Genomic DNA, 27,790 nt, shown 5'->3' with positions numbered 1-27,790 from the left:
CCAGGCAATTAGACTCGATAGCCATTAGCTAAATACCCTCATCTTTCAACCTTTCGTCTATTGGATTATAGTTCTCAGAATTCATACCAACACAGGCATCCTCCTGTGAACCAACTCTCACATTTTGACATTCTTCCTAAAAGCTGATACCCAGGAGTTCTGAACCCAATTCTTAGGAAGTGTTCTGACCAAATGGGAATAGCATGAAAATGTTCACCTTTGTTCTAGGTGTCATTATAATTATTACTATTATTAATGTACCTGAAGACTGCATTCATCTTTCACACCCCATACCCCAAACTGTTGTTACAAAGTGAACCTGTGGTTCTCCACATTCTGTAAACTTGTGAAGACAGTGACTGAATGTGTTTGATTCATTGTATCTGCAGCATCTTGTGAAGTGACTGGAAAAAAGTGAGTCAACTAATATGTATTTGCTGGCCTAAAATGAATTAAGGGGTTTTTGTCATTGTTCACATGTCAAGCAGAGTCTCACATTTCGGAATTGTATAATACACAAGGAAATAAAAAAACCTAAGCAGAGGACTTAACATTTAGCTGTGTTAGATTTCATCTTTTAATTTTAGATCCTTGATATAGGCTGTTCAAAACCATTTGATTCTTGATTTTATCATCTGGTCTATTCGGGTATTCCTTCTAAATAATCTGTCATCTAGCAATTCAAATTGTCATATCTTCTATATCTTCGTCAAAGTTATTGATGAAAAATATTGAGCAAGAGAGGGCCAAGGACAAAGCTTGTCAAAATTCTCATAAGACTACTTTCTAGGCTAACTCTGATTAATAAACATATTACTTTATTCTCTTTGGGTAATTCAAGCTACTTGTGAGGACGTTACATTATATTAGGTCAAGTCATAAAAGTTGCATTTTCTTACATCAAAACTGTCAGATATTGGCAATTTCATATAGTTTAACCTAATCTAATGTAGTCCACATTTCTTCATTTTCTAGGAGTGTCATATGAGATTTTGCTAAATATCTCATTTAAATAAAAATAAATCCACATGATGCATAACTTTAATAAGATGTATATTATTTTGTTTAAGATTTATTATTATTAACTTGATAGATTTTACAAAAATAAGAAATTTTGTTATTTGGCATAACTTGACTCTTCAAGTTTGTTGCCTCTATAATCAAATAATGAATTCCTCATCTATGGGGCCAAGGCTCTTACTTTATCTCCCACAGCTTTCAGTAAAGTATTTTGCATATCATAAATATTCACCAAATGTTGAATAAATAAAATAAAATAATTTTGAGTGTGGTCATAACTCATTCAGCAAAGAACCTTCATTGAGAGGCTTTATATACAATTTCCTAGAACTACCTCTTTTCAAGATATTTCCTATCACCAATCTAACTTCTATTGGCTTTAATAATTTTTGGCAAAGCCCACTCACATGTGGACATACCATATATATATAGAGGGAAAACACCCTTTTTTCATTAAAAATAACCTCATAACCTCTGAAGGTCTATGGGAATTAAATACATACTGAATCACCCAGGCACTTGGCTCAGATATAGAGACACTGCTGATGGTGGCATGACAAAAGGATAAGGTAAAGTAACATCATCTGCCACAATCATAATGAAATCCCAAAATGAGTCACAGAATCCCTTAAGCCACTGATATCAAGAAATGCAAGTTTAACCTCTGTTTGGCCCTCAGGCAAAATTGATGCCACATTTAAATACTCTGATATTAGTGTTTTTGTATCACTGTATCAACTACTACATGACACTCTAATGCTGAACCAATAGAAATTAATTTCTGATAATGCCAGGTCTAGTCAGTGGAGCCTGGGAATACGTTTCTTATCAAAATCAAGAGTTCTTAAGGAGGCTTATGATACAACAAAGTCACTTATAATTAGAGAAAAATATCAGCAGTGACTATGGGATTCTTTCCAATTATGGATTTCCCAGTGCTTGAATTAAGACTTTGGCTCTAAAATGAAGCAGACTGACACATTCAGACTATGTCTGTCAATATTTCTGGGCTAGAAAGCTCAAATAATTCCAGTATCCTTTGTAAGCTGTCTGACTGCTTTACTGGCAGAGTCTTCTTTCTCTATCAGCATGAATTTAATATTAAAAGATTATTGCTTATTTATTTATTTATTGTTAAAGTAAGCTTCCATTTTCTACCATTTAGTAGTTTTAGGTTAAGAGGGAAAAAACACCAGTGAAATTAGCAGTGTCCTTGGTATGTGACTGTGTATTTATCCGTACTATTCTTTTGAAACCACAAAGCCAAAGCATTCTAAAATATTTTTTCTCATAATTTGACCATTTTCCCCATTTGTCTGAGGTTTATTATGTTTATCTGTGGATGACTACTGTAATATTTTTAGCACTACTTATTAAAACTCATGTCTTAAAGTCTTGCTCAATATTGCTAATTAACTTCTTCATTACCATAAGCAATGCTGCTAAGCTACAGTACCGTCATAAAATTTTTTAAATGAATAAACAAAATCATGTAATACAAACAATGATACAGCTGCTCATTGTTTATACAGCTCAGCAAATAATGGCCAAGTGCTACTGACTGAATCAGTGAATATTATTCCTTCTCATTAATAGAAAAAGAAAGGAATGTAGAATAAGCTGTGCACATTAAAATAACAGGGAACTCACATATTTAGGATGCAATCAATGTTGCATCTCTGTCTGTAGTGCTCATCAATACTCTGCCAAAAGATAACTACATCCTCCTCATCCCATTTCAAGTAATACAGTCAGCCTATTTTAATCATAAAAAATTGCTTTGTAATTTAAAAAGATCAATTCCATTACACATTCACTGTAATTCATTTAAGGTCTTAAGCACAGAATTGGGCACAAATTTAAGTATTCGATAAGTATTTGTTAAAAGAGTTAAATATGCAAAATTACATAACCTTATCATTTAGAATAATTAAGGACACCTAAAAGCCCTCTGAATTATCTCAGAGACAGTATACTTAGAATCTAAATATAGGTAATCATGATGGCTATTAGTGAAACAAGAAACGGATTCATATTTTAAGCTTTACTTTTTCTTATGGTTTAGAAATGCTTACACTTCCCAAGGCTTGTGTAAACTTTAATTTTACCGCTTTTACTATTTCATATTATTTTAAACAGGAATAATATCAGAATTGCCACACATCCTAATAGAAATAGGGTAGAGTATGAATAAATAAATCAACATCAGTAACAAAAATCAATGACTGTATTTTCATTTCTAAATTGGAGTTAGAGTCGGGATAAAACTAAAAGAATTAATGAAAACCAAGCAAAGATCTTCAGAATAACCGGCTACTACTCACCCTAACTCACTAAGCCAAATATTTCTGGAAGTAAACTATAATGATGCATATAGAAAAGAAGTGAAGAGAGAGGTTAACATACATAAAGAAATGTTTCTCTTAAAAGTACTTATTTCATTAAGTGAGACAACACTTTCTTTTTTCTTTTTCTTTTCTTTTCTTTTTTTTTTTTTTTTGGAGGCAGAATTTTGCTCTTTTTGCCCAGGCTGGCTGGAGTGCAATGGCACGATCTCGGCTCACTGCAACCTCTGCTTCCCCGGTTCAAGTGATTCTCCTGCCTCAGCCTCCCAAGTAGCTGGGATTACAGGCATGCACCACTGTGCCTGGCTAATTTTGTATTTTTAGTAGAGATGGGGTTTCTCCATGTTGGTCAGGCTGGTCTCAAACTCCTGACCTCAGGTGATCCACCCTCCTCAGCCTCCCAAAGCACTGGGATTACAGGCGTGAGCCACCATGCCCAGCTGAGACAACATTTTCATGCATAATTTTAGAAATTAAAAAGATATGTTTTTAGAGTCCCTTTTAACCATATTAGAATATTTAATTCAACAGATTCAGATTTGAAAAGATGCTTTTACATTTTATAGTCTTAGTTGGATCAAAGTCAAGAGATGCTTCTGTCTTTAAGAGAAAAGTAAGAGCAACAGGGTCTGGAACAAACACATCAGCCTGATTCAGGATGGGCAAGATCTCTGGTTCCCTACTTTCACTCAGACCTCAGCTGGCAAAGCTGAGTGCCATTCATGCTGGCCTTGAAGAGGCAGAATAAATTAACACAGTCAGAAAGAGGGATTGGTCTCACAGTATTTCAAAATAGCTCTTCATCTGTCTATGTTTAGGGAAATCAGTGGGAATGGATGGAAGAAGGTATCCATCATGTGTTATAGACTATGAGTTAGTACACTGAGAAAATTACAAACATACATGAAAAATTGAAGTTCTACCTGTTCCTATTTTTGAGTATGAAACATAACCTTTGCCTTAAGTTAAAATATGGAAATCCAAGGTATTGCCCATGGTGAGAATAGAAGCCTATTGGTTCCTTTTCTAAATTCCTTTAACCTATACTAACAGGTCTAATTTGTCTTTTTGTCCATTTTTCACCTCTCCCGCCTCCAACATATGAACAGATCAAAACACTGCATGACTGCCTAGAGTCTCATTGCTCTTCTCACTGTGTTAATTGATTACAGCTATTCAAGGTGAGGATAAATGGCATTCTGTCTGGCCAAGATAAGCCTGTGAGGGACATGTCCATCCTATATCAGGCGGCTGCTCTTCTCTGTCAACCATACAGGCAGTAATTCTGTGAGGACACAAAACAGGGTCATTTACTAAAACAAACTGATGTGCTTCACTGCCTGAGCAGCCTAAGTCTAGAGAGGAAGGTAGTATATATATATTGCTCCACAGCTTCTTAATAGATTAATACACTTACTCATGCTAAGATACAAATTCAATTAAATGTTAGGAAGTCGAGAACAGGGATTCTTTTCCAAACCCAGAATCACCATAAAAAATATACTGACCCAGGGCCTTACTTCAAATACTGAATCAACACATCTTAGGGCTCTGATTTGATGGGATGTGGGAGAGACAGAAAATCAGCATTTTAACATGATCCCGGGGTGATTTATATAGCCTCCTTGCATTAGATAGGAAATTTAGAAACATCTAATTAGTCATTAGGAGATTCAGAAACATCTACATAAACATCTTTATAAAGGCAATCAACAAAAATAGTCACAGAAATTTAAAACACAAAAAACAGTTTAACATATTTTTACTATATTTTGTAGCTTATACTAACCTAGTAGTAGCTATGGAATACACAATAATTCTCTCCCTTTTTTTTTTTTTTTTTTTTTTTTTTTGAGACAGAGTCTTACTGCAGCACCGAGGCTGGGTGGCTCAGTGCTGGATCTCGGCTCACTGTAACCTCCACCTCTGGGTTCAAGCAATTCTCGTGCATCAGCCTCCTGAGTAGCTGGGATTACAGGTGCCTGCCACCATGCCCGGCTAATTTTTGTATTTTTAATAGAGAACAGGGTTTCACCATGTTGGCCAGGCTGGTCTCAAACTCCTGACCTCAGGTGATCCACTCACTTAGTCCTCCCAAAGAGCTGGGATTACAGGCAATAATTCTCAAATTTAAGCAGCTTGTTACAAGTAGATTGCTGGGCTCCACCCCCCCGCAGAGTTTCAGATTCAGTCTAAGGTGGGACCTGACAATTTTTCTTTGTAACAGTCCTTAAAAAAAAATTCAGTTAAGTGTAATCTATATGCACATAGGTTTGATTATACAAATGAATATGATAGGACACTTCTAATTTACCAAATAATTTAAACTCACTGATCACTAAACAAAATTATTTGACTCCCCAAATAATTACATAACATTGTAGTAAAACATTCTAATATTTCCTCTACAAGTGATTTTTTTTTTTTTTGAGACAGAGTCTCCCTCTGTCACCCAGGCTTGAGTCAAATGGCATGATCTTGGCTCACTGCAACCTCTGCTTCCTGTGTTCAAGCGGTTCTCCTAACTCGGCCTCCCAAGTAGCTGGGATTACAGATGCCCACCACCGTGCCCAGCTAATTTTTGTATTTTTAGTAGAGATGGCGTTTCGCCATGTTGGCCAGGCTGGTCTTGAACTCCTGACCTCAAATGATCCACCTGCCTTGGCCTCCCACAGTGCTGGGATTACAGGCGGGATCCACCACGCCCAGCTTACAAATGATTTTTAATATTATTACACCATGATAATGACCATCAGTAGTGCTTCTCTCATCAAAAGGATTCACTCAATATTAGGCTGTCAATACTAATGGTTAATATTAATAATAACAAGGTTCGATGAATATACCCACCTATTCCTTCCAAGGGAATGTAAGTACAACATAAAAAGGGCATAGTTGGATAAATTTTAAAAAACCGAATGTTGCAGATAGGCAATTTTTACCTGTTTTATTGTGAAAGCTGAAAGCAAAAATTTTAAAGTTTCACCTCTGGTTAGAATGGTTGACTCTTCTTTTATTCAAATTCAATGTTGGCATTTTTACACTTAACGGTTTTCTTTTAATGTTTTTCCACGTTTGTCCTTACAAACAACTGGTGAAAGCTGTTTGTTTGAAATGTTCAAATGTGAAAGTCAATAGAGAGTACCGCTCAACCAAATAAAGGTTGAGTATTCCTTCTCTGAAATGTGTGGGACCAGAAGCATTTTGGATTTCAGATTTTTCCAGAGTTTGGAATAGTTGTAAATACATATTTGAGATATCTTGGGGATGGGATCCAAGTCTAAGCATGGAATTCATTTATGTTTCATCAGTATCTTATACACACAGCCTGAAGGTAATTTTATACAATGTACTTAACAATTTTGTGCATGAAACAAAGTTTTGACAGTCTTTTGACCACAATCTATCACATGAGGTCAGGTATGGAATTTTCCTTTTGTGGGAGGTTGTTGACACTCAAAAAGTTTTAGATTTTGGAGCATTTCAGATTTCTAATTTTCACGTTAGAGATGCTCAATCTGACATGACACTAGAACTCTTTCTTAAGTCTCTGGAGTGAAAGACCAACCCACTTTGTTATCCTATGTTTCCCTAGGAGAGTAGATTCAATGTGTTACATACTTTTTCAGGGCTATTTAATAAACAGACAGAAGCAAATCCCCTAGCGATACTCAAAACTTTTAAGAACTGCATTTTTTTCTTCCTTAGCAAATAAATAAATAAATAATAAATACTAGAAATAGAGTAAGGCTCTTCTCTTGCAGTTTTATTTTCACAGTAGTACTTTGGCACTTTCCCGGGAATTTGTGTGTCCTAATGACGAGGAGGTGCCAATTAGTTAGCTGGATAACTGTCCTGAACAAAATTAGCAGTTTATACATTCCTTCATGGAATTCTAAGTGAACTATCAGTCCTGTGTTCACGTGAATTATTAGATTAATCTTCAGAAATTTATTTCAAAATTTCAAAGACTGAATATATTCACTAAAATGTTTGGTATAATACAGAAGAGCTCAAATCTGAACTACTCAAACATTTAGTACCATTAAACCTTTGGATCACATGTAGTAAAAGCATGTACTACATAAAATAAAAAGGTATATAGTGAGTAATTAAAAAACCTTTTTTTAGAGAAATTTTCTTTTTTTTTTTGAGATGGAGTCTTGGGCTCTATGGCCCAGGCTGGAGTGCAGTGGCGCGATCTCTGCTCACTGAAAGCTCCGCCTCGCAGGTTCAGGCCATTCTCCTGCCTCAGCCTCCCGAGTAGCTGGTTCTACAGGTGCCCGCCACCACGCCCGGCTAATTTTTTGTATTTTTGTAGAGACGGGGTTTCACCGTGTTAGCCAGGATGGTCTCGATCTCCTCACCTCATGATCCACCCACCTCGGCCTCCCAAAGTGCTGGGTTACAGGCGTGAGCCAGCACACCTGGCCAGAAATTTTCAAATATAAACAAAAGCAAGGAAATGAATAAAGATCTAAATTCCAAATCATTTAACCTGCTTTCAAAAACAATAGCAATATATAATGAACATTTCTCAGATCATTATATATGTTTATTTAATAGTCGCACTGTTGACACACTTAGTAAGTGATCTAATAATTGCATACAACTTTAATGGAAAAGTATAAATCAATACATTCAAGAAGACTCTTGTTGATGCATTGTTTTGGGAAAAAGTTCTCACGGAAAAGATTTATCAACACAGAAATAGCAACTGAATTTTCTTTTTCTTAATACAGAGGATTTCATCACAGATACATTTAATTTACATAAATTCAAGTAGTTCTTTTATGTTATTACAATACTATAAAATTATACTTTGTAAAGATACTTTTCATTATGTACTCCATACTTTGTGCAATAATATATAATAATATCTGTACAGCACATAGGAATATATTTTTTAAAATTCAGTAGATTTTATGATCTATTGAAGAAGTTTCAAAAATAATTTTGATTATACTAAACTTTAATAGTTGATTTCAGACCCTGACCCCAACATATAATTTACTTCAACTAAGTGATTATTTCAGATATTCAATTTCTTATGTGAATTCTGTCCTGAAATTTAAAACTTTTATAAATCTTTTCTGGTTATCTTGTTTTAGTAGTAAAAAAAATAAAATAAAGAACTCAAAACCCCTACTTCATTCACATATAATAGTCTTCTTGCTCACTGTTAGGTTTAGAAAATTTTACCTTTTCGGCGCGTGAGGCCTCTTTCCCTGCTGCCGCCGAGTCGTGCAGAGGCGGAGGCTTGGGTGCGTTTAAGATTCGGCTTCAGGGCTTGGCGCCGTGGCTCACGCCTGTAATCCCAGCACTTTGGGAGGCCGAGGCGGGTGGATCACAAGGTCAGGAGATCGAGATCATCCTGGCTAACACAGTGAAACCCCGTCTCTACTAAAAATACAAAAAATTAGCCGGGTGTGGTGGCGGGCGCCTGGAGTCCCAGCTACTCGGGAGGCCGAGACAGGAGAATGGCATGAACCCTCGAGGCGGAGCTTGCAGTGAGCCGAGATCGTGCCACTGCACTCCAGCCTGGGCGACAGAGTGAGACTCCGTCTCAAAAAAATAAATAAATAAATAAATAAATAAATAAAAACAAGATTCGTCTTCACCGGTAACCCACCGCCATGGCCGAGGAAGGTATTGCTGCTGGAAGCGTAATGGACGTTAATACTGCTTTACAGGAGGTGCTGAAGACTGCCCTCATCCACGATTGCCTAGCACGTGGAATTCATGAAGCTACCAAAGGCTTAGACAAGCACCAAGCCCACCTTTGTGTGCTTGCATCCAACTGTGATGAGCCTGTGATGTATGTCAAGTTGGTGGAGGCCCTTTGTGCTGAACACCAAATCAACCTAATTAAGGTTGATGACAACAAGAAACTAGGGGAAAGGGTAGGCCTCTGTAAAACTGACAGAGAGGGGAAGCCTCATAAAGTGGTTGGTTGCAGTTGTGCAGTAGTTAAGGACTATGGCAAGGAGTCTCAGGCCAAGGATGTCATCGAAGAGTACTTCAAATGCAAGAAATGAAGACATAAATCTTTGGCACACACACACACACACACACACACACACAAAGAAAGAAAAAAAAGAAAATTTTAGCTTTTCCATTACTGTAAAACTGGGAACTTGAATTTGTGTCATGGTATTTCAAATTCTTAACTCTAGAACATTATCAGCTAAATCAATAGTCTTGTTCATCCACTGAGCTACTTTGCCATGTTCCTGAAAGCTTTTAGTTAAAAAAAAAAAAAAAGCTGTCATAGGAATCCAGACCATCTGGCAAGTCAATATATTCATACTTGGGGGATAATTCAGTGAAGGTTATGAAAAGTAGCAGAATATGCTGCCCCAAAATATGCCACTTGGCATATTGATGATTTTGAACTGAAGACAATTGGAAATAGATACAAGGCAAGCTCTAAGCAGACTACAAATTTACAAAGGTATCCCCTCTCTCCTCTCTACTAGGAAAAATAGAAGTTAATCACCAGAGACAACTTTAAACCTTTATCAGCCTGGAGACGGCACCAGAAGAATCCACATAATAAACCTTACTAACTACAGCAGTCTCCTCTTATCCGTGGAGAATGTGTCCCAAGGCCCCCCAGTGGATGCCTGAAACAACCGATAGCAGCAAATAGTACACATACCAGGTTTTTCCCCATACATACACACCTATAACAAAGTTTAATTTATAAATTAGGCACAGTAAGAGATTAACAACAATAATTTATAATAAAATAGAACAATTATAACAATATACTGCAATACAAATTATATGAATACAGTCTCTCTTTCTCTCAAAATATTATATTGTACCATACAGTCATCTTTCTGTATCCACATAGTATTGGTTCCTGATCTTCTCGGGGATTTTCTGTGGATGCTTAAGTCCCTGATATAAAATGGTATAGTATTTGCATATAACCTACACACATCCTCCCATACAGTTTAAATCATCTCTGCATTACTTATAATCACTAATACAATGTAAATATAATTTAGACAGTTGTTATACTGTATTGTTTTTCTAAAAAATCGTATTATTTTTTATTTTTATTTTTTTTTTATGTTTCCCTTTCCTGAATTTTTTCTTTTTCTTTCTTTTTTTTTTTTTTGAGACAGAGTTTTGCTCTTGTTGCCCAGGCTGGAGTGCAATGGCGCGATCTTGGCTCACTGCAACCTCCGCCTCCCAGGTTCAAGTGATTCTCCTGCCTCAGCCTCCTGAGTAGCTGGGATTATAGGTACCTGCCACCGTGCCCTGCTAATTTTTTTGTATTTTTAGTAGAGACAGGGTTTCACTGTGTTGGGCAGGCTGGTCTTGAACTCCTGACCTTAGGTGATCCTCCTGCCTCAGCCCCAAAGTGCTGGGATTACAAGCATGAGGCACCATGCCCGGCCTGTTTCCTGAATATTTTTGATCTGATGTTGTTTACTCACCTGTTTGCAGACCTCGGTTGACCGCAGGTAACTGAAACTGCGGATAGCAAAACTGCAGATAAGGGGGAACTACTGTAGCTCTCATGTTCCATTAGTTTCCCGCATATATTTACCTTCCCACAATTTGCTGCCCTTACAAGCTCAAAGTTCTTTTCCTTTGTCTTGCCACTTCTCTACAAAATCTGTTGTTTTTTTGTTTAGATGCTATATAGCCCTAAATTCCAATCACCCCGTTGAGTTACTCATCAGAGTTCTCCCATGTGCATCCATGAAGAACTCCTTAATAAACTCCTGTTTTTCTCTTGTTAATCTGTCTTTTGTCAGTCTAATTTGCTGGGCCCCACCAATGAACCTAAGTTAGAAGGAAAAAGGGTTTTTTTCCTTGCCTACAGTGGTATAAAAATATTTTTTTAAGAAATTAAAATATCAAGAATTGTTTAATAAGCACAGTACCTGCAACGCATGGCAGTTATTCTTATAGGCCACACTCCATTAAAATTTCAGAATAAAATTTTACTTTTCGGAAAAGTGAGGGCTTCTTTTATTAACAATGTAATAATTTGGTGGAAAGAATTATAGGAATAAAAGGTTGCTGGTGCTTTAGGAGGTTATAATCTGGATTGTTTTGCATTATTATTGCAGCTTGAGGCCGAATGAGACAATAGTACTAGGAAAAAGAAAACTCCAGTATAAGATCAATTCTTATTCATTATTTCATATATACCAATATTTGATTTAGTATATTACTAAGGGATAACTGATCACATAATGCTTTTCTCTATGTTTCATGTTGTCCAGGGCTTAAAAAGTCTCTGGTGCTAGTGCAGATGATTGTCAGATTCAAGTCTTCTCCAGCTCGGTATTATCCACCTGGACAAGTGCATGTAAACTGTGCTCTTTCTTTCTTCCCTATTCTACCCCGTAACCTTTTACTGAAGAACAGTTCAGTATGATCGACTTTTATGCTATTTTAAGCATCATTGTAATGAACACCTTATGCATGTCTTTGCACACAAGTATGAGAGTTTCCCTAGGAAGAAAACTTAGAAGTAGATTTCCAATATACCAGGTATGTAAAACATGGTATTTTTTAAACAGGGTATTTTAAACATAATATTTTAAAACATGGTAATACAAGGTAGGAAAACATGGGTTTTAGTAGGTGAGGAGGTTGAGAACACACTACCCCATAATACAGAGCTCTGACACATTGAATATTTTAAGCTGAAGAAATTGAGAAATGGCAAATGCAGGAGGGTATCTCTGATTTTCTCCTGAAGCATTTTATAAGAAACTCAAATGAGAGCTGCCCTTCATATACCCAGTGGAAAGGGGCATCTTTATCTCCAAAGATGGAGGGGAAAGAGGAATCAGAATGAATAGGCTTTGCTAAATTTCCCCCAGTTTATTTCACTTAACCCATACTTTGCCCTATCACACTTTTTCATAACTGCACACTTCATCAAATCTCACATAAAAATACTCAGGTTTAACCATTTTGGGGGGTCTTCATTTCCTTAGGAAGTCTCTCATGTCGTGTAAAACTTAAATTAAATAAATGTGTATATTTTTCTATTGTTAATGTCTTTGGTTACAGAGTCCCAGCCAAGAATGTAGATGGATAGAATGAAAATATTGTTTTCCTTCTCTGCAGTTTCTGGTGATGAGGATGGGACTGCATTGGCTAGGTCACTCAACAACTCTGGGGCTGCCACTGACTAAGCCAGCAAAGAATTCTTACTGAGTCAGTTTCCTGGATCTCTACCTGCAGTGGCCAGTGGAGAGGGAAGGTAAGATTTTTTTTCCTATCCAGTCCTTTCCAAATTCAGATTAGCAGGAGAAATTTGTAAGAATTATTCCTTTGAATTGTGACTCTCACAAATTTGGTTCTAAGTACTCAGTGATTATTGATCCTTTTCCTCCCAGGACAGCCATGGCGTTCCTATTTGTCTCACTTTATATCTTGAGAGCTTGGCTTGACTTTACACCTGTCAGGGCACACAGACTGTCAGGCCTGCATCTGTAGGTAGCCAACTGTTAGATAGGGGCCCTGAGATATGAAGATGGCTGAACAGAAATGTGGGCTGCACCCCATTTGCAGCTGATATCCTACTGGCATGACTAGCTTGTAGGAGGTTTTGTCTACATGTGTCATTCTTCTATCTTTGGTAGTGGCACTGGATCATGAGGGTGGCTTCTTTTGCACCCTCTCTGGGGAAGTCTCTTGTATCTGTGGTTAGCCTATAAAAGGCTTATTGATTTTGATTTTGAGTCACATGGAATAGATACCCCTTTGGTTTAAAAAAGGTGGTGGGGAGTGGTTGTGGTTGGCTCATGCCTGTAATCCCTGCTCTTTGGGAGGCTGAGGCAGAAGGACTGTTTAAGCCCAGGAGTTTGAGACCAGTTTAGGCAACACAATGAGTTCTTGATCTCTAAAAAAATAACTAATTAAAGGAAAAGGGTCCATCTCTTCTGGGTCTTTGTAATTAGGGGACAAAAGGGGATTCAATTGTGTCAGGAAAATTTACTGTTTGTCCCATTCAAAACCTGACAATCATATTTGAAAGGATTTTTTTGTTCAAAATACTCTATGGTCGGAAATGGGCTTAACTGGAGGCTGATCTTCAGAGCCTGAGAGGAACTATTTTTGAGGCCTTCTCTCCTAATATGGAATTATGCAGTTATGAAAGGAGTTATCCAGCTTGCTTTAGGCAGACAGTAAGGGAAGGGTCCCTGGAGAACTTCCAACCCACCCCACAAGCATTTATACCAGATGTTTTGTGCAGATAAGGGAACTTGCACAGGGGTCTTGCCTAAACATGCCCACAGTGGAAAATTCCATTCCTTAACACATGTGCAGTAAGAGAAATAAATCAATATGGAGGGACTCAGTCTAAGGACCCACATGTGCACTGGAAGGATGGGGTAGAATTCACACCTTAAGCCCTTGTATTCAACTGTGAAGGAAGCAACTGGAAACCTGCTTTCAGGACCCCTTTTTGTTTTTTGCTGAGACCTTTCCTTTTGCTTAATAAATTCTGCTCCACTCACTCTTTGATGACCTTGTGCCTAATTATTCTTGGTTGTGAGAAAAGAACCCAAATCTAGTTGAGCTAAGGAGGAAAAACCCCGCATCACTTAGAGAGAAAGAACATTAGAAAGGCTTTGTGTAACAATTTATTAAAACTTTCTAAAGGCATGCAACTCATAGGGATCTTTATTTCCATTTTAGTTGGAAATATGTTCTCCGATATGAAGTAGCAAATTCAAGATAATGTAATTTGATAGGTAGGTCAGCCTCTTTATTATTCCAGCTGCAACACAGTTTTCTGAAGAGTTTAAAACAACTACCATTGTCTTACAAATTGAGTCTATACAAACAGAAATGCAGCACTAGGAGCAATTCAAAGCCCACCCATCCTTCTTAACAATCCCCAAATCTCTCCTGTTCATATCAAGATGCTTGCAGATACTTTAAAAAGTCAAAACATTGGAAATATAATTGTCCTGCACTTAGAAAATAATACCTTAAATCTATGATAATAGATATGCCTCAAAATGCCCTCAGAGAAACCATACATCCTTTCTTTGTGCCTTTCAGACATAAATATTTGACCCTGTCCTCTCTAGGACCTGCGGGTGATCTTTTTGCTATGCAAACTTCCTGGGAGATAACTCTTGCTTCTAAACAAAAGGAAAAAAAATAATAGGCGTTTTGAAAACAAACTGCTTCAGTGTCCATCTCCCAAAATTTAGTCCACAACTTCCAGAAAATTACTTATCAACAATAAACAAAAATCTTAAAAGCCTCCTCTATAAATGTAGGTAAACAGGTAACCCTAACTTGTCCCATTTTCCAGAAATACAATTTGGATACAAATGTAAAGTGGAGATAAACCAGTAATTTTTTACTAATACGTTTTACTGAATCATGACTAAAATTTTAGAATAAAACTCTAAGATCTCTGTTTGAAGCTGTCTGTATGGCTATGTATATTTAGGTTTACTTGTGTCAGGCCTCTGAGCCCAAGCCAAGCCATCGTATCCCCTGTGACCTGCACCTGTACGCCCAGATGGCCTGAAGTAACTAAAGAATCACAAAAGAAGTGAATATGCCCTGCCCCACCTTAACTGATGACATTCCACCACAAAAGAAGTGTAAATGGCCAGTCCTTGCCTTAACTGATGACATTACCTTGTGAAAGTCCTTTTCCTGGCTCATCCTGGCTCCAAAAGCACCCCCACTGAGCACCTTGCGACCCCCACTCCTGCCCACTGAGCACCTTGCAACCCCCACTCCTACCCGCCAGAGAACAAACCCCCTTGGACTGTAATTTTCCTTTACCTACCCAAATCCTATAAAACGGCCTCACCCTTATCTCCCTTCACTGACCCTTTTCGGACTCAGCCTGCCTGCACCCAGGTGAAGTGAGCAACAGCCATGTTGCTCACACAAAGCCTGTTTGGTGGTCTCTTCACATGGACGCGCATGAAATTTGGTGCCGTGACTCGGATCGGGGGACCTCCCTTGGGAGATCAATCCCCTGTCCTCCTGCTCTTTGCTCCGTGAGAAAGATCCACCTACGACCTCAGGTCTTCAGACCGACCAGCCCAAGAAACATCTCACCAATTTCAAATCCGGTAAGCGGCCTCTTTTTACTCTCTTCTCCAACCTCCCTCACTATCCCTCAACCTCTTTCTCCTTTCAATCTTGGCGCCACACTTCAATCTCTCCCTTCTCTTAATTTCAATTCCTTTCATTTTCTGGTAGAGACAAAAGAGACATGTTTTATCCGTGAACCCAAAACTCCGGCGCCAGTCACGGACTGGGAAGGCAGCCTTCCCTTGGTATTTAATCATTGCAGGGACGCCTCTCTGATTATACACTCACGTTTCAAGGGTGTCAGACCACGCAGGGACGCCTGCCTTGGTCCTTCACCCTTAGCGGCAAGTCCCGCTTTCCTGGGGCAGGGGCAAGTACCCCTCAACCCCTTCTCCTTCACCCTTAGCGGCAAGTCCCGCTTTCCTAGGGGGCAAGAACCCCCCAATCACTTATTTCCACACCCCAACCTCTTATCTCTGTGCCCCAATCGCGTATTTCCACACCCCAACCTCTTATCTCTGCACCCCAATCCCTTATTTCCGCACCCTGACCTCTTATCTCTGTGCCCCAATCCCTTATTTCCGTGTCCCAGCCCTTTCTCTGCTTTTCTGGAGGGGAAGAAACCCCCACCCCTTCTCCGTGCCTCTACTCTTTTCTCTGGGCTTGCCTCCTTCACTATGGGCAAGCTTCCACCTTCCATTCCTCTTTCTTCTCCCTTAGCCTGTATTCTTAAGAACTTAAAACCTCTTCAATTCTCACCTGACCTAAAATCTAAGAGTCTTATTTTCTTCTGCAATGCCGCTTGACCCCAATACAAACTCAAGAGTAGTTCCAAATAGCCAGAAAACGGCACTTTCAATTTTTCCACCCTACAAGATCTAAATAATTCTTGTCGTAAAATGGGCAAATGGTCTGAGGTGCCTGAAGTCCAGGCATTCTTTTACACATCAGTTCCTTCCTAGCCTCTGTGCCCAGTGCAACTCGTCCCAAATCTTCCTTCTTTCCCTCCCTCCTGTCCCCTCAGTACCGACCCCAAGCGTCGCTGAGTCTTTCTAATCTTCCTTTTCTACAGACCCATCTGACCTCTCCCCTCCTCGACAGGCCAAGCTAGGCCCCAATTCTTCCTCAGCCTCCGCTCCTCCACCCTGTAATCTTTTTATTGCCTCCCCTCCTCACACCTGGTCTGGCTTACAGTTTCCTTCTGTGACTAGCCCTCCCCGACCTGCCCAGCAATTTACTCTTAAAAAGGTGGCTGGAGCCAAAGGCATAGTCAAGGTTAATGCTCCTTTTTCTTTATCCCAAATCAGATAGCGTTTAGGCTCTTTTTCATCAAATATAAAAATCCAGCCCAGTTCATGGCTCGTTTGGCAGCAACCCTGAGACACTTTACAGCCCTAGCCCCTAAAAGGTCAAAAGGCCGTCTTATTCTCAATATACATTTTATTACCCAATCTGCTCCCGACATTAAATAAAACTCCAAAAACTAGAATCTGGCCCTCAAACCCCACAACAGGACTTAATTAACCTCACCTTCAAGGTGTGCAATAACAGAAAAAAGTTGCAATTCCTTGCCTCCACTGTGAGACAAACCTCAGCCACATCTCCAGCACACAAGAACTTCCAAACGCCTGAACTGTAGCAGCCAGGCGTTCCTCCAGAACCTCCTCCCCCAGGAACTTGCTACACATGCCGGAAATCTGGCCACTGGGCCAAGGAACACCCGCAGCCCAGGATTCCTCCTAAGCCACGTCCCATCTGTGTGGGACCCCACTGAAAATTGGACTGTTCAACTCACCTGGCAGCCACTCCCAGAGCTCCTGGAACTCTGGCCCAAGGCTCTCTGACTGACTCCTTCTTGGCTTACCGGCTGAAGACTGACACTGCCCGATTGCCTCGGAAGCCCCCTAGACCATCACGGACGCCGAGCTTCGGGTAACTCTCACAGTGGAAGGTAAGCCCGTCCCCTTCTTAATCAATACGGAGGCTACTCACTCCACATTACGTTCTTTTCAAGGGTCTGTTTCCCTTGCCTCCATAACTGTTGTGGGTATTGATGGCCAGGCTTCTAAACCTCTTAAAACTCCCCATCTGGTGCCAACTTAGACAATACTCTTTTAAGCACTCCTTTTTAGTTGTCCCCACCTGCCCAGTTCCCTTATTAGGCTGAGACACTTTAACTAAATTATCTGCTTCCCTGACTATTCCTGGACTACAGCTATATCTCATTGCTGCTCTTCTTCCCAATCCAAAGCCTCCTTTGGGTCCTCCTCTTGTATCCCCCAACCTTAACCCACAAGTATAAGATACCTCTACTCCCTCCTTGGCGACCAATCATGCACCCCTTACCATCTCATTAAAACCTAATCACCCTTACCCCACTCAACGCCAATATCCCATCCCACAGCACACTTTAAAAAGATTAAAGCCTGTTATCACTCGCCTGCTACAGCATGGCCTTTTAAAGCCTATAAACTCTCCTTACAATTCCCCCATTTTACCTGTCCTAAAACCAGACAAGCCTTACAAGTTTGTTCAGGATCTGCGCCTCATCAACCAAATTGTTTTGCCTATCCACCCCGTGGTGCCAAACCCATATACTCTCCTATCCTCAATACCTGCCTCTACAACCCATTATTCTGTTCTAGATCTCAAACATGCTTTCTTTGCTATTCCTTTGCACCCTTAATCCCAGCCTCTCTTCGCTTTCACTTGGACTGACCCTGACACCCATCAAGCTCATCAAATTACCTAGGCTGTACTGCCGCAAAGCTTCACAGACAGCCCCCATTACTTCAATCAAGCCCAAATTTCTTCCTCATCTGTTACCTATCTTGGCATAATTCTCATAAAAACACACGTGCTCTCCCTGCCAATCGTGTCCGACTGATCTCTCAAACCCAAGCACCTTCTACAAAACAACAACTCCTTTCCTTCCTAGGCATGGTTAGCGAGGTCAGAATTCTTACACAAGAGCCAGGACCACACCCTGTAGCCTTTCTGTCCAAACAACTTGACCTTACTGTTTTAGCCTAGCCCTCATGTCTGCATGCAGCTGCTGCCGCTGCATTAATACTTTTAGAGGCCCTCAAAATCACAAACTATGCTCAACTCACTCTCTACAGTTCTCATAACTTCCAAAATCTATTTTCTTCCTCATACCTGATGCATATACTTTCTGCTTCCCGGCTCCTTCAGCTATACCCCACTCTTTGTTGAGTCTCCCACAATTACCGTTGTTCCTGGCCCAGACTTCAATCCTACCTCCCACATTATTCCTGATACCACACCTGACCCCCATGACTGTATCTCTCTGATCCACCTGACATTAACCCCATTTCCCCAAATTTCTTTCTTTCCTGTTCCTCACCCTGATCACGCTTGATTTATTGATGGCAGTTCCACCAGGCCTAATCGCCACACACCAGCAAAGGCAGATGATGCTATAGTACAAGCCACTAGCCCGCCTCTTAGAACCTCTCATTTCCTTTCCATCATGGAAATCTATCCTCAAAGAAATAACTTCTCAGTGTTCCATCTGCTATTCTGCTCAGTGTTCCATCTGCTATTCTACTACTCCTCAGGGATTATTCAGGCCCCCTCCCTTCCCTACACATCAAGCTCGAGGATTTGCCCCACCCAGGACTGGCAAATTAGCTTTACTCAACATGCCCTTAGTCAGATAACTAAAATACCTCTTAGTCTAGGTAGATAATTTCACTGGATAGGTAGAGGCCTTTCCTACAGGGTGTGTACAGGGTGTGAGAAGGCCACCGCAGTCATTTATTCCCTTCTGTCAGACATAATTCCTCAGTTTAGCCTTCCCACCTCAATACAGTCTGATAACAGACGAGCCTTTATCAGTCAAATCAGCCAAGCAGTTTTTCAGGCTCTTAGTATTCAGTGAAACCTTTATATCCCTTACGGTCCTCTGTCTTCAAGCAAAGTAGAATGGACTAAAGGTCTTTTAAAAACACACCTCACCAAGCTCAGCCACCAACTTAAAAAGGACTGGACAATACTTTTACCACTTTCCCTTCTCAGAATTCAGGCCTGTCTTCAGAATGCTACAGGGTACAGCCCATTTAAGCTCCTGTATAGACGCTCCTTTTTATTAGGCTCCAGTCTCATTCCAGACACCAGACCAACTTAGACTGTGCCCCAAAAAACCTGTCATCCCTACTATCTTCTGTCTAGTCATACTCCTATTCACCGTTCTCAACTACTCATACATGCCCTGCTCTTGTTTACACTGCTGGTTTACACTGTTTTTCCAAGCCATCACAACTGATATCTCCTGGTGCTATCCCCAAACTGCCACTCTTAACTCTTGAAGTAAATACATAATCTTTGCTGGCAGGACTATGCTGAATCTCCTTAGGCACTCTCTAATCAGATATCCTGAGTCGTCCCAATTCTTAGACCTTTTATACCTGTTTTTCTCCTTCTGTTATTCCATTTAGTTTCTCAATTCATCCAAAACCGTATCCAGGCCATCACCAATCATTCTATACGACAAATGTTTCTTCTAACATCCCCACAATATCACCCCTTACCACAAGACCTCCCTTCAGCTTAACCTCTCCCACTCTAGGTTCCCACGCCGCCCCTAATCCCGCTTGAAGCAGCCCTGAGAAACATCGACCATTCTCTCTCCATACCACCCCCAAAAAATTTTCACCGCCCCAACACTTCAACACTATTTTGTTTTATTTTTCTTATTAAGAAGGCAGGAATGTCAGGCCTCTGGGCCCAAGCCAAGCCATCACATCCCCTGTGACCTGCACCTATAAGCCCAGATGGCCTGAAGTAACTAAAGAATCACAAAAGAAGTGAATATGCCCTGCCCCACCTTAACTGATGACATTCCACCACAAAAGAAGTGTAAATGGCCGGTCCTTGCCTTAACTGATGACATTACCTTGTGAAAGTCCTTTTCCTGGCTCATCCTGGCTCCAAAAGCATCCCCACTGAGCACCTTGCGACCCCCACTCCTGCCCACTGAGCACCTTGCAACCCCCACTCCTACCCGCCAGAGAACAAACCCCCTTGGACTGTAATTTTCCTTTACCTACCCAAATCCTATAAAACGGCCCCACCCTTATCTCCCTTCGCTGACTCTCTTTTCGAACTCAGCCCGCCTGCAACCAGGTGAAATAAACAGCCATGTTGCTCACACAAAGCCTGTTTGGTGGTCTCTTCACACGGACGCACATGAAAACTTGTATATGTATACGTAATGTATACATGATACTCTCCTACTTCTGAATAGTGTTACCAAATTAATTTATAAAATTATGTAATGGTTTATTCAAATTGGCTTAGAGATAAATGAACATTTACATAAAATAAATATTCCTGAAACCCCAGGAAATACAGAATGTGAAAAGTTTTCATGTTCACATGACTTGGATATGTTTGTTGATATAAAAGATTAGTTTAATATGGTTGGTTTAATAAAAATAGCTATGTATTCTGAGTTATTAGCATTATGTATAATATGAGCATACATTTTTATTCTACTGGATTTAGTAGCCAAATAAGGTTAAAAATAGTTAAGAGGGAAATAAGTTAAAATGTTGGTTAGCTTTGTTTGGTATTATACTATGTCTGCCTAAATTCAGTTTCTAAAAAATATTTATAGTAACTTTCAACCTTAGAATTATGCTAAATTATATATATATGTATATAGTGTTTATGTGTGTGTTTCAAAATTTCCAAATAGAATACAATACTGAAACATTCATTACTGAACATAATTTAAATTTATGTATTTTTGGCATCTTGTTTTTATACAGTATAAAGAAACTAAATATATTTGGGTATGTTAATACACATGAGAAACTATACCGTGAGGAAATAGCATATACCTATAAAACACAAGATAGTATATTCGTAAATGTGCCACTCAGCTACAGAATACTGACATATGACAGGCAATTCACAATTGTCTATTTCCTAGTTTTCTCTGAAAAAGAAATGTTGCTTACTTTGAGGGCTGAGGCAGGCGGATCATGAGGTCAGGAGATGGAGACCAGCCTGCTAACATAGTGAAACCCCGTCTCTACTAAAAAAAAAAAAATAGCTGGACATGGTGGCACACACCTGTAGTCCCAGCTACTTGGGAGGCTGAGGTAGGAGAATTGTTTGAACCTGGGAGGCAGAGGTTTCAGTGAGCCAAGATAACACCACTGCACTCCAGCCTGGGTGACACAGCAACACTCTGTCTCAAAAAAAAAAAAAAAGAAATGTTACTAACGGTTAAAAATAAATGAAACTACTATGAATAAAAAGAGTAAAGAAAAAAAATCTTTATGCAAAGTGTGCAAGAAAAGTAGGATGTGTTTTTGATTTAAAAAGAGAAATGTGGTATGAAGCATATATTTCTTTTTTTAAGGGGAAAAAAAGAGTAATTTTGTCCTAAGGTAGAATGACTGGTTGTTCCAGAATGAGAAAAAGGAAAAGAGTAGCACCAAAACTGAATGGATGTTAAAAAACATGTAGAGGGTTTGTAGGAAAAGAATTTTATGTGTAGCCAGCTGCTAAGATAGAATGGATTTATTTCTAAGTTAAAGAAAATGAGACAACATTATAAGCATAATGATGTAAAACCAGAATGATAGTTTTCTTGGATTATTGGTCTGTTCTTATTAAAAAATAAGAGATTTCTCTTTATCTTTTAAGTAATCTACTTAGGAAACAAAGATTTTTGTATCTTAGCAAAATAATTTCCTGTGCTTCATGTTGTATTTATCAGATCTTTGCTTAGGAAAACCAAGTTTTCTCAATATTAGAAGAGCTAAAATTTTTTTCACAGTTATTTAACTTACGGTATTTGCCTTTGAAATCTTTTATTGTCACACTAGTTAAATAAATAAGTATTGTTTCATAGTAGTAAGCCTACTTAATGACATGTTCAAAACTTTTCACATTTTTGACAAGCACCTCAATATCAAATTTAAATAGTCTTTTTGACCTCAAAACTAACTTTGTGATTTCCCAGAGCACCCCTGGAAAATCTTAAATAATATGTTCTCTCATCTTGTAAAAAGAGAGATGTTAAACTCATTAGATTTATTTGAGATACTGAATTACATAAGAAGCATTGTCAAATAAAAAGTAATGCTTAACCTTCTTTAAGTTGTATTTATATGGCTATATATTTTTAATATAAATGTTTCAAAAATTTTATGAAATTCCTAGAAATTTGTCAATGTTCTTTCTGTCTACATAAATCACTCATAATCAGTTATCTTAGAACATTATATGCCACATTATAATAAGCTCCTATCAGATCTTTAACCATGACCACTTTAAGTCTTTTGTCATTTACAGACAATTATTGTTTTACTCAGATTCTTCTCTGAAAATGTTCACAATTAGCAGCAGGCCAAAATTGCTCTATCTTCAAACAAATTCATGAAACATACTCTAATAAATACTCTGAAGTACAGGTTTCTGATAATTTTATTTATTTGTTTGTTTATTTATCTATTTATTTATTAGAGACAGAGTCTCACTCTGTTGCCCAGGCTGGAGTATAGTGGTGTGATCATAGCTCACTGCAGCCTCCAGCTCCTGGGCACAAGCACTCCTCTCACGTCAGCCACCTGAGGATTTGAGACACTATAGGTATGTGCCACCACACCCAGCTAATTAATTTGTTTTTGTAGAGATGGGGTCGCACTTTGTTGCCCAGGCTGGTATCGAACTTCTGGCTTCAAGCAATCCTTCTATCTCAGTCTTTCAATGTGGCAGGACTACAAGTGTGTGCCACCATGCCTGGCTAAATTTTAAAATTTTGTGTAGAGACGGGATCTTGCTTTGTTGCTCAGGCTGGTATTGAAATCCTCGCTTCAAGCAATCCTCCTGTGTCAGTCTCCTAAAGTGCTGGGGCTAAGGGCATGAGCCACCCATGCCTGGCCTCTGGCAATAATAAGATCATATGCTTTGACTGGGTAAAAATTTCCAGAACTCTAGTTAAAAAATCTGATTTATTCATAAAACTAACCCAAGATCATGCAAAATTATAACTGAGCTCCATCTTGCTTCTAACCTCCAAACTGTCCTTGTTCCTTCCTGGGCATAGGCTGAACTAACTTTGGGAGGAACTTAGTTTATAATTTAAAACAAAGATGATAACAGCCCTTTCCCAAAACAAACTTCCTTCTTGCCTGGAGACTAGATTGCCTTTGTAGGACTAACAAATTAGCCACAAGTTTAGAAATTATGGTTTAGGAGTCATGAAGCTGGAGTCTACAAGATTCTGACCCTCCCTAAACTACTCCTAAGATCAGTGTTTGAGATGTTTTTGCAAACCTTCACTTGATGGACCAGCTGGCATCACCCAGATTGATAAAGTGGCTCATTTGATCTTGTGGTCCCCACCCAGGAACTGACTCAGCACAAAAAGACAGCTTCAATTCCCTATGATTTCATCTCCTACCTAACCAATTAGCACTCCTGGTTCACTGGCTTCCCCCCACCAAGTCGTCCTTAGAAACTCTGACACCCAAATGCTTGGGGAGACTGATCTGAGTAATAATAAAACTCTGGTCTCCCACACAGCCGGGTCTGTGTGAATTATTCTTTCTCTGTTGCAATTTCCCTGTCTCAATATACAGATCTTGGAGGGTGGAGCCAAGATGGCCAAATAGGAACAGCTCCAGTCTAGAGCTCCCAGCATGAGCGACCCAGAAGATGAGTGATTTCTGCATTTCCAACTGAGGTACCAGGCTCATCTCACTGGGGAGTGTCGGAAAGTGGGTGCAGGACAGTGGGTGCAGCGCACCCAGCGTGAGCCGAAGCAGGGCGAGGCATCGCCTCACTCAGGAAGTGCAAGGGTCAGGGAATTCCCTTTCCTAGTCAAAGAAAGGGGTGACAGACAGCACCTGGAAAATTGGGTCACTCCCACCCTAATACTGCACTTTTCCAATGGTCTTAGCAAATGGCACACCAGGAGATTATATCCCGTGCCTGGCTCAGAGGGTCCTACGCCCACGGAGCCTCGCTTATTCCCAGAACAGCAGTCTGAGATCAAACGGCAAGGCAGCAGCGAGACTGGGGGAGGGGCGCCCGCCATTGCCGAGGCTTGAGTAGGTAAACAAAGCTGCTGGGAAGCTCGAACTTGGTGGAGCCCACTGCAGCTCAAGAAGGCCTGCCTACCTCTGTAGACTCCACCTCTGGGGGCAGGGAATAGCCAAACAAAAGGCAGCAGTAACCTCTGCACACTAAAATGTCCCTGTCTGACAGCTTTGAAGAGAATAGTGGTTCTCCCAGCATGCAGCTGGAGATCTGAGAACAGACAGACTGCCTCAAGTGGGTCCCTGACCCCTGAGTAGCCTAACTGGGAGGTAGGGGCAGACTGACACCTCACACGGCTGGGTACTCCTCTGAGACAAAACTTCCAGAGGAACAATCAGGCAGCAACATTTGCTGGTCACCAGTATCCGATGTTCTGCAGCCTCCGCTGCTGATACCCAGGCAAACAGGGTCTGGAGCAGACCTCCGGCAAACTCCAACAGACCTGCAGCTGAGGGTCCTGATGGTTAAGAGGAACACTAACAAACAGAAAGGACATCCACACCAAATCCCCATCTGTATGTTGTCATCATCAAAGACCAAAGGTAGATAAAACCACAAAGATGAGGAAAAAACAGAGTAGAAAAACTGGAAACTCTAAAAATCAGAGTGCCTCTCCTCCTCCAAAGGAACGCAGCTCCTCACCAGCAATGGAACAAAGCTGGACGGAGAATGGCTTTGATGAGTTGAGAGAAGAAGGCTTCAGATGATCAAACTACTCTGAGCTAAAGGAGGAAGTTGAAACCCATGGCAAAGAAATTAAAAACCTTGAAAAAAAATTAGACGAATGGCTAACTAGAATAACCAATGCAGAGAACTCCTTAAAGGACCTGATGGAGCTGAAAACCAAGGCACAAAAACTATGTGACGAATGCACAAGCCTCGTAGTCGATCTGATCAACTGGAAGAAAGCGTATCAGTGATGGAAAATCAAAAGAATGAAATGAAGCGAGAAGGGAAGTTTAGAGAAAAAAGAATAAAAAGAAATGAACAAAGCCTCCAAGAAATATGGGACTATGTGAAAACACCAAATCTACGTCTGATTGGTGTACCTGAAAGTGATGGGGAGAATGGAACCAAGTTGGAAAACACTCTGCAGGATATTATCCAGGAGAACTTCCCCAACCTAGCACGGCAGGCCAACATTCAAATACAGGAAATACAGAGAACACCAAAAAGATACTCCTCGAGAAGAGCAACACATAATTGTCAGATTTACCAAAGTTGAAATGAAGGAAAAAATGTTAAGGGCAGCCAGAAAGAAAGGCAGGGTTACCCACAAAGGGAAGCCCATCAGACTAACAGCTGATCTCTCGGCAGAAACTCTACAAGCCAGAAGACAGTGGGGGCCAATATTCAACATTCTTAAAGAAAAGAATTTTCAACCCAGAATTTCATATCCAGCCAAACTAAGCTTCATAAGTGAAGGAGAAATAAAATACTTTACAGACTAGCAAATGCTGAGAGATTCTGTCACCACCAGGCCTGCCCTACAAGAGCTCCTGAAGGAAGCACTAAACATGGAAAGGAACAAGCGGTTCCAGCCACTGCAAAATCATGCCAAATTGTAAAGACCATCAAGACTAGGAAGAAACTGCATCAACTAATGAGCAAAATCACCAGCTAACATCATAATGACAAGATCAAATTCACACATAACAATATTAACCTTAAATGTAAATGGGCTAAATGCTCCCATTAAAAGACACAGACTGGTAAACTGGATAAAAAGTCAAGACCCATCAGTGTGCTGTATTCAGGAAACCCATCTCTTATGCAGAGACACACATAGGCTCAAAATAAAGGAATGGAGGAAGATCTACCAAGCAAATGGAAAACAGAAAAAGGCAGGGGTTGCAATCCTAGTCTCTGATAAAACAGACTTTAAACCAACAAAGATCAAAAGAGAAAAGGAAGACATTACATAATGGTAAAGGGATCAATTCAACAAGAAGAGCTAACTATCCTAAATATATATGCACCCAATACAGGAGCACCCAGATTCATAAAGCAAGTCCTTAGAGACCTAGAAAGAGACGTAGACTCCCAGGCAATAATAATGGCAGACTTTTAACACCCCACTGTCACCATTAGACAGATCAATGAGACAGAAAGGGATATCCAGGAATTGAACTCAGGGATATCCAGGGATTGTCCAGGGATATCCAGGAATTGAATCAGGTTAACAGGGATTTCCAGGAATTGAACTCAGCTCTGCACCTAATAGACATCTACAGAACTCTCCATCCCAAATCAATAGAATATACATTCTTCTGTGCACCACACTGCACCTATTCCAAAATTGACCACATAGTTGGAAGTAAAGCACTCCTCAGCAAATGTAAAAGAACAGAAATTATAACTAACTGTCTCTCAGACCACAGTGCAATCAAACTAGAACTCAGGATTAAGAAACTCACTCAAAACTTCTCAGCTACATGGAAACTGAGCAACCTGCTCCTGAATGACTACTGGGTACATAACGAAATGAAGGCAGAAATAAAGATGTTCTTTGAAATCAACGAGAAAAAAGACACAACATACCAGAATCTCTGGGACACATTTAAAGCAGTGTGTAGAGGGAAATTTATACCACTAAATGCCCACAAGAGAAAGCAGGAAAGATCTAAAATTTACACCCTAACATCACAATTAAAAGAACTAGAGAAGCAAGAGCAAACACATTCAAAAGCTAGTAGAAGGCAAGAAATAACTAAGATCAGAGCAGAACTGAAGGAAATAGAGACACAAAAAAACCCTTCAAAAAATCAATGAATCCAGGAGCTGGTTTTTTGAAAAGATCAACAAAATTGATAGACTGCTAGCAAGACTAATAGAAGAAAAGAGAGACGAATAAAATAGATGCAATAAAAAAATGATAAAGGGGATATCACTGCCGATCCCACAGAAATACAAACTATCATCAGAGAATACTATAAACACCTCTATGCAAATAAACTAGAAAATCTAGAAGAAATGGAAAAATTCCTCAACACATACACCCTCCCAAGACTAAACCAGGAAAAAGTTGAATCTCTGAATAGACCAATAACAGGCTCTGAAATTGAGGCAATAATTAATAGCTTACCAACCAAAAAAAGTCCAGGACCAGATGGATTCACAGCCGAATTCTACCAGAGGAACAAGGAGGAGCTGGTACCATGCCTTCTGAAACTATTCCAATCAATACAAAAAGAGGGAATCTTCCCTAACTCATTTTATGAGGCCAGCATCATCCTGAACCAAAAGCCGGGCAGAGACACAACCAAAAAAGAGAATTTTAGACCAATATC

General features: G+C 39.8%; 1 protein-coding gene and 1 pseudogene across 59 annotated transcripts in view, besides 5 other annotated features; one reads left to right on the top strand and one right to left on the bottom strand.

The window, feature by feature from the left end:
• Positions 1 to 27,790, bottom strand: part of ADGRL3 (adhesion G protein-coupled receptor L3) — an 878,010-nt gene that overhangs the window by 293,484 nt on the left and 556,736 nt on the right. The window lies entirely within an intron of this gene.
• Positions 8,586 to 9,425, top strand: RPS12P9 (ribosomal protein S12 pseudogene 9; annotated as a pseudogene).
• Positions 14,064 to 14,925: an enhancer, noted in NCBI's record as "OCT4-NANOG-H3K27ac-H3K4me1 hESC enhancer chr4:62635645-62636506 (GRCh37/hg19 assembly coordinates)". NCBI's record gives its function as "activates a minimal SCP1, AML or CMV promoter by ChIP-STARR-seq in naive and primed H9 embryonic stem cells {active_cell/tissue: H9 hESC(naive and primed)}" and the evidence as "EXISTENCE:reporter gene assay evidence [ECO:0000049][PMID:30033119]".
• Positions 14,926 to 15,789: an enhancer, noted in NCBI's record as "OCT4-NANOG-H3K27ac-H3K4me1 hESC enhancer chr4:62634781-62635644 (GRCh37/hg19 assembly coordinates)". NCBI's record gives its function as "activates a minimal SCP1, AML or CMV promoter by ChIP-STARR-seq in naive and primed H9 embryonic stem cells {active_cell/tissue: H9 hESC(naive and primed)}" and the evidence as "EXISTENCE:reporter gene assay evidence [ECO:0000049][PMID:30033119]".
• Positions 15,790 to 16,651: an enhancer, noted in NCBI's record as "NANOG-H3K27ac-H3K4me1 hESC enhancer chr4:62633919-62634780 (GRCh37/hg19 assembly coordinates)". NCBI's record gives its function as "activates a minimal SCP1, AML or CMV promoter by ChIP-STARR-seq in primed H9 embryonic stem cells {active_cell/tissue: H9 hESC(primed)}" and the evidence as "EXISTENCE:reporter gene assay evidence [ECO:0000049][PMID:30033119]".
• Positions 19,420 to 20,009: an enhancer, noted in NCBI's record as "NANOG-H3K27ac hESC enhancer chr4:62630561-62631150 (GRCh37/hg19 assembly coordinates)". NCBI's record gives its function as "activates a minimal SCP1, AML or CMV promoter by ChIP-STARR-seq in primed H9 embryonic stem cells {active_cell/tissue: H9 hESC(primed)}" and the evidence as "EXISTENCE:reporter gene assay evidence [ECO:0000049][PMID:30033119]".
• Positions 20,010 to 20,600: an enhancer, noted in NCBI's record as "OCT4-NANOG-H3K27ac hESC enhancer chr4:62629970-62630560 (GRCh37/hg19 assembly coordinates)". NCBI's record gives its function as "activates a minimal SCP1, AML or CMV promoter by ChIP-STARR-seq in naive and primed H9 embryonic stem cells {active_cell/tissue: H9 hESC(naive and primed)}" and the evidence as "EXISTENCE:reporter gene assay evidence [ECO:0000049][PMID:30033119]".

The sequence above is a fragment of the Homo sapiens genome, chromosome 4, assembly GCF_000001405.40.
Source record: "Homo sapiens chromosome 4, GRCh38.p14 Primary Assembly".
NCBI classification, from domain to species: Eukaryota; Metazoa; Chordata; class Mammalia; order Primates; family Hominidae; genus Homo; species Homo sapiens.
Note: the sequence above shows the minus strand (reverse complement) of the source record. Positions and strands in the feature narration are given on the sequence as shown.